Here is a 7,058-nt window from a genome sequence, read left to right as displayed (position 1 = left end):
CTCCACGTGTCCTTGCTTGCACCTGCCCCTTCTGCTTGTGGAAATTCTGCCCATCATTCCAAGGCCAAACTCAAATGCCTGTCCATGAAACCTCTGCATGCCTGGAGTCAAAACCAGCCTTTTCCTCTTCTGGGCTTTCCCAGAGCTCCATGCCTCCGCAAATGCACTTAGCAAGTCCTGCCGCGTCTTCGGATTAGCTGTGCAGTTTGTTGTCTCTGTACTCCCTGTATCCTTAAGAGCAGCAACCCTGTGTTGTTTATCTTTGACAGAGGTTGGCAAACTGCAGCTTACAGGCCAGATCCTGTCCACTGCCTGCTTTTGTAAGAAAAGCATTGCTGGAACCTGGCCACGCTCGTGTATCTGTGTGTTGCCCTGTCTGCTGTCTTACTACGATGGCAGAGTTGAGTAGTTGCAAAAAGACCACATGGCCCTCAAAGTCTGAACTATTTGCTATTTGGCCCTTTACAGAAAAAGTTTGCCAAATCCTGATCTTTGCAACTCTCCCAATACTGAGAACAGCGTCTGACCATAGATGGGATAGGCTCAGGGCTACATAGACTGGGGACACACACCCCTGGAAAGATGAATACGGTACAGGCGTCAGGGGAGTCCTAAGGGTGCAGAATGCTGGAGGTGGGGTTTCGAGGGCCAGACGGGGCAGAGTAGTCTGGAAAGTTACACAAGAGTGGACATATTCAGAGAGCTTAAGACTTGGGAGGGGCCATAGAGCTAGATCTTCCCACCAAAGGGGCCTTTTTGACAGATGTGCAAACTGAGGCCCAGAGAGGGAAAAGGATTATTGTCTGGGGCAAAATAGTTTATAGCATCAGAGTTCAGTTTGGCTCTGCTACCAGATCTCCCAAGCTTGAATCCTGGCACCTACAATCTTGGGCAAGTTCCTGAGCCTCTCTGTGCCTCAGCTTTCTTAGCTATAAAACGGGGGAAATAATTGAGCTTGTCTCAGGGCATGGTGGGGATCAAATGAGTCAATGTGAAGCACGCTCGAGCATTTCTAGGGCACTGGAAAGTCCACAAATGTCAGTACAGCTAACATGATGGCAGACAAGGCTAAAATCCAGCTCTCCACTCTCAGCGCGGTGTTTTAGGTTAAGCCTCAAAGCACAACTGGGGTATCTTAATGCTGGAGGCATGTTTGCTGGGCAGAACCAAGATTTCCTAATACCTTGCATGTTGTGGTGGTCGGCCACTTACAGAGAACACTGTGCTCTGTGCTTGCATGGCAATATGTGGTCCCAGAATCTCTATTGCCTCTTCCATCTTCGTTTTAATGCCCTTTTGTTCCCCTTGGAGAGGAATATTTGACTGAATCAGGAGTAATAGTTTCCAGGGTTACCACTTACTGAGCACTCACATGTGCCAGACACTGCTATATACTGGTGTGTGTGAGCTCATGAACTCTTTCCAGCACTTTGAGCTTTATCTTACTACCCCCACTTTACAGAAGTGGCAGCCGGCTCAGAGAGGTTAAGCAGCTTGCCAAAGGTCACACAGCTGGCAAGTGGGTAGAGCTGGGATTGGGCCTCTCTGACTCTTAGAACACCTTCCAGCACATGTCTTGTCTTCAGCCTCGAAGCTGAGCAAGGTGTTCGAATCCGATCGTTACCTCTATAACTTCCCTGAACCTTGGACCTCTCTTCTTCATGGGGTGTGGATTTCTCCTGGCACGTGCACAGCATTGCCCTGAGGAACAAGAGGAGGAAGATCTCCTACTGGGGCCAGCAGTAGACCAGGAGTTAGGATAGCTCTCCAGGGCTGAATGCCCCGTCAGTTCTCTTGTCCTGGCTCTGTGTGACCTTGGGCCAGTCACTTCCCCTCTCTGGGACTCAGGAGCAAAAGACAGAAGCAAGACATACATGCCTTCTGCAAGCTCTGGACTATGCTTCTCCCTACAGCACATTGGAAGCATGGAGGTCTCCGCCAGCATCCCTGGACATGCCATCCAGGCCTCGAGGATTTTACAAAAGCTCTCGGGTGGGAGGCGAGCGCTGTTCTATGGTGCCAGCCTTCGAGGCTTCTGGATAGTGCGGCCGTGTACATGATCCTGGAGACACACATGCCCGCATTGTCCTTGGAACTGGAACTGGGAAACCCCACCACAGCAGGCTGGCTGCCCCAGCCCCACAGCCCGCCAGGCGGCCTCCCTCCCTCCCTCCCCTCTCAGGCAGGGCAGCTAAGCTGCCAGCTGCTAGCAAGGCCTATTGTTCAGCAGTGACAAGAAATGGCTGCAGAGCACAGCACCCTCCTGGAGAGAGGCTGGAGGCGGAAGGGGGAGGGTGGGGTGAGCTGGGGAAATGTCCCTGACACCGGCTTCCCTGGGGCGCTGGCCTGCGTGCCCAGGAGGAGTCAGGGACAAACACATCGCTTGTGCGGGGTCTGTCCCCTCCTTCCTTAGGGCCTCACAGACTTCTTTTTCATTTGTCTTCTCGGGACGTGATGATGGGTGGAAGTGTGTGGCCGTGTTTTCGTGGGTCAATGTAGGGAGTCAGGCCTCCTCTAGAAAAAGATTTATGGTCACTTACTTCCCAGCTGATGGCCTGCAAGTAGTGCCAGGTGGCCAAGTGCGTTTGAAAGAGGCTGCTCCTGTCAGTCCAGCCCATGCTCTGAGTGGAATGCACTCCCTGGGCCTGGAGAGGCTCCCGTGGAGCTGAGGGGCCTGACGTTTGTGGGTAGCTTCATGGCGTCTGAGCGCCTCACACACATTTGCTTTTTTTTTTTTTGAGACGAAGTCTCGCTCTGTAACCCAGGCTGGAGTGCAGTGGTGTGATCTTGGTTCACTGCAACCTCCGCCTCCCGGGTCCTGGTTCAAGCAATTCTCCTGCCTCAGCCTCCTGAGTAGCTGAGATTACAGGCATGTACCACCATGCCCAGCTAATTTTTGTATTTTTAGTAGAGACGGGGTTTTACCATGTTGGCCAGGCTGGTCTTGAACTCTTGACCTCGTGATCCGCCCAACTCAGCCTCCCAAAGTGCTAGGATTACAGGCTTGAGCCACCGTGCCTGGCCCATTTGCTTTCTTTGATTCTCATGGCAGTTCTGGAGGAGGTGGCAGGGGAGGGAGGCTCTGCAGACGTGGGGACACTGAGGAGCAGAGGGCATGGGCCACTGAGTACAGAAGTGGCACAGACAGAAGAGCAGGTCCCAGACCCAGGCCCCTCCCTTTATCACCCTCAGGTGGCGGCTTTCGGGCTTAGAAAAAACAGCCAGAAATTTACGAAAAAATCAAGGTCTATAAGTGAGCCATGGAGCCAGAAGCCACATATTCTGTTGGGGCTTTGTAACAGGGGCAGGGTGGGAACTGAAACCATTCTGAGCTTTGATTCTGTCCTTTCTGTCCCTGATACCACCTCTCCTCCCGCTGCCCCAAACACACACACACTCAGCCATAGTGGAGGGGAAGAAGTGATGCAGCTACAGGTGGCCACTGTCTTCCTCAAACATTCCACCTAAGACAGAGTTAGGCACTTCCTGTGTTTCTTCTGCTTTTTTTTTGTTTTTGTTTTTGTTTTTGAGACAGGGTCTCATTCTGTCACCTAATGGCACGATCATAGCTCACTATAGCCTCTAACTCCTGACCTCAGCCATCCTCCCACCTCAGCCTCCCAAAGTGCTAGGACTACAGGCATGAACCACAGCACCCAGCCAGCACTTGCATTAATACAGCTTTGAGACAAACCCTGGGTCCCCTTCCAACCAGACTCTGCCTCTAAGCCTTGCCAATGCAGAAATTCTAGGGCCCCCATGCTCACTGGCATACATGCTGTCTCCCCACAACCGCCCCATCCTCTCTCTCCTTCCTCTCTCCCTGTCTCCCAGTCTCTCTCCCGCTCCTGCCCTCCATCTCTGACTCTGTGTCTCTGGCTCTTACTCCCATCCTCTCCCTTGCAGTGTCTGTCTCTGTCTCTCTTCTGCATTATTACTTGAAAGCAAGCTTTGCTGTGGCAGAGCAGCTGAGTCTGACCTTGGGACCTGGATAACACGGCCAGCCCCCTGCCCTCTTGAGGTCTGGGTTTTCTGGGTCTGACGTGCTGGGCTCCAACTTCTGGGCTTTGAGGCAGGTCTGGTGGGGTTGGGTAGCTCCAGGGCTCAGGTTCATTGAGGTCTGGGGTCCTCAGAGTCACCACAAGAGGGCCCCAGGACCCTTTGGGATGGAGGGGGGTGTCCAGGGCCTCAGTACTGCCCCGAGTACCTGGCTTCCCCATTTGGGGCTGCCTAGCTTGCAGGCTATGAGGTCATTGGGGTTAGAAGTTTTCTATCTCTGTTTTCTGAGTTGCCCAAGAAGCTCTGATTGGACCGTGTGCTGCAGGCATGGAAGGAGATTCTAGGCAGAGAGGCTGCCTGGGCTGGCTGAACCAGTGGGGTGCTGGGCCCTGGGGAAGGTGGGCTCTGAGGAGGCGTCCACTGCCTGGGAGGAGGATGGAAGCCGGTGGTACCAGCAGGGGTGGACAACAGAGTCTGTTTTTTTTTTTTGTTTTTTTTTTTTTTTTAAAGAGAGGGGGTCTCACCGCATTGCCCAGTCTGATCTTGACCTGCTGAACTCAAGCATTCCTCCTGCCTCAGCCTCCTGAGTCGCTGGGATTATAGGCGCCCTCCACTGCACTTCCACTGTCCCCTCTGCCCAGCTGAAAGGCAGCAGAGTCTTCAGTCATTTGTTCTAAGTGGTCTGTAAACAGACTGTGTGGCATGGGCAGGGGCTGCTTGGGGCCCCAAGTGAAGGCTGCGAGCCTGTGCTCAGGGAGATGGGGCCGGGGAGACCACCGGTGGAAAGCTCTTTGCCTTTACAGAAAGTGTGGGCTCTGGGCAGGGCCTTCTCTGGTCTCCCTTTCACAGATCCAAAAAGGGAAACTAAGGCCCTGAAAGGTTAGGCAAATTGTGCAAGGCAGCTGGAACCTGGGAGCTGGGGTCTGAGTGTGCCTGTGGGACTCTGCTCTGCCCTGCTGGACACATTTCCCCGCTGTCCTGGGGACCCGGGCCTCACTGTGGGTTATCGTGGAGATGCCACTATGCAGAAGGCTTAGACATGATCCCTGGCTTTCTCAAGGCTGGCCCAGAGGGGAATCAGGAACCAGGAATACTCTCTGGTCCCCAAACCCTAGTAGTCTGCTACTGTGGCCTGCCAGGCCCCTCAGCTTGGCTACAGGGAAGACAAGATGGTTAAGAGAGGATCTTTGGAAGAGAAAAGGGCTCACTCACACTCACTGAGGCCTATCCCCATGGGTCAAAACAGGCCAGAGGATAGAAAGAACTTGTCTGATGGCCGGTAGCCTCAGGAAGACTGGCTGGGGAGGCTGTGGGTCAGGAGCCCTGTGGCCCATTAGCTCATTTGCCGCTGCGCCCATCACAGCAGATGCACTACCACTTACCTAACTCATAACGCCCTTGGAGCCATTCTTGCCTTTCCCCTTTCCCACCCACACACACCCCATCAGCAATCCTGGTTTATTCTGCCTTCTGAATAGATGCAGGATCCACTGGCATCTCACCATCCCCACTGCCAGTCACCTCTCACCAGGATGATCACCACAGCCTCTGCACTGGCCTCCCTGCTCCCATCGTCGTTTGGATGTCTGTTCTCAAGACAGCACCCAGAGTGATCCTTTAGAAAATGAGTTAGCCGGCCAGGCGCGCTGGATCACTCCTGTAATCCCAGCACTTTGGGAGGCTGAGGCAGGTGGATCGCTTGAGGTGAGGAGTTCGAGACCAGCCTGGCCAACATGGTGAAACCCTGTCTCTACTAAAGATACAAAAATTAGCCAGGCATGGTGGAGAGCGCCTGTAATCCCAGCTACTCGGGAGGCTGAGGCAGGAGAATAGCTTGAACCCAGGAGGCAGAGGTTGCAGTAAGCCGAGATCATGCCACTGCTCTCCATCCTGGGCCACAGAGCGAGACTCCACCTCAAGGAAAAAAAGAAAAAAAAATGAGTTAGCTGTGTGCTTCCAAATAGGAGCACCTGGGGATTTGTGAGGATGCAGAGTCTAATCAGCAGGTCTGGGAGGGGACCAAGAGCCTGTGTGTTTAACAAGCTCTGCGTGTCTGGCGGTGCTGGCCCAGCATCAGGTTATGCTCCCTCTGTGTTCCAAGCACTCCATGGGCTTTTTTGGAGTAAAATCCAAAGTTCTTCTCCTGGCCTCTGTGGCCTCAGCTGCTCGTCCAATCCCACCGCTCCCCTCTCCCCTACTCTTTGTTCCAGCCCCACCAATCTTCTTGCTGTTCCTCAAGCACACTTAGCACGTTCTTGCCTCTTGGCCTTTGCACACACTGTTCCTTCTGCCTGGCACCCTCTCCCTTCTCCCAGGCTGCCTCCCAGGCCTTTCCCGACCGCCCTGCCTAAGGTAGCAGCCTGTCACTCAGTAGCCCTTTCCTCGCCTTCTTTTTCTTCACAGCACGCATCACTTCCTCGCAGTACACCTCTCCGTGTTTATTTGATGATCGTGTCTCCCTCACTGAATTGCAGAGTCTGGGAGGGCTGGAATGTGTGTGTATGTGTGTGGCTCTTTCCCTAGCCTGGCACAGGGCAGACCCTCAGTACTGCCTGCTGAGGAAATGCAAGATCCCGTTACATGCTGGGGCTCCAGGACCGACACAGCAGATCCGGTGCCTGGCCTCTGCGTCATCTACAGCCTTGTTCCCCAGCAGGAGGACAGGCGTGGGGCTGATGAGCGGGAATAGTCATGGTGGATACTTCCTGACCGCTTCCTGTGTCTGCCCTATGCTGAGGGTTTTCTGTGAATTATCTTGTTTAATCTTCATTACAGCCCAGCTAGGTAGGCACTGCCATCATCGCTACCCCTCACTGGAGGGTGGCCTCCTGCTTGCTGTCCCACAGCTCTTCAGGGCTCCCCTGTCTGCCCTGGGATCAGTGGCCTGACCTCCTTGCCCTATCCTGTCCCGAGCCAAGGCACAGGCAACCTGCAGGGAGGAGAAGCATCTAGCGCTCCCCCCTCCACTCCCCTGAGGCTGGGGCGCCACAGCTGTCCCTGGGCAGTGCACTAATCTGGCATCCCACCCAGGGACACTGGAGAGGGTTGGGAGGGCAGGA

At 54.2% G+C, this 7,058-nt stretch overlaps 2 annotated features.

Moving 5' to 3' along the window:
- Positions 3,374 to 3,513: an enhancer, noted in NCBI's record as "active region_15897". NCBI's record gives its function as "activates an Ori minimal core promoter by ATAC-STARR-seq in GM12878 lymphoblastoid cells {active_cell/tissue: GM12878}" and the evidence as "EXISTENCE:reporter gene assay evidence [ECO:0000049][PMID:35858748]".
- Positions 4,217 to 4,276: an enhancer, noted in NCBI's record as "active region_15896". NCBI's record gives its function as "activates an Ori minimal core promoter by ATAC-STARR-seq in GM12878 lymphoblastoid cells {active_cell/tissue: GM12878}" and the evidence as "EXISTENCE:reporter gene assay evidence [ECO:0000049][PMID:35858748]".

Source organism: Homo sapiens, chromosome 2 (assembly GCF_000001405.40).
Source record: "Homo sapiens chromosome 2, GRCh38.p14 Primary Assembly".
NCBI classification, from domain to species: domain Eukaryota; kingdom Metazoa; phylum Chordata; class Mammalia; order Primates; family Hominidae; genus Homo; species Homo sapiens.
Note: the sequence above shows the minus strand (reverse complement) of the source record. Positions and strands in the feature narration are given on the sequence as shown.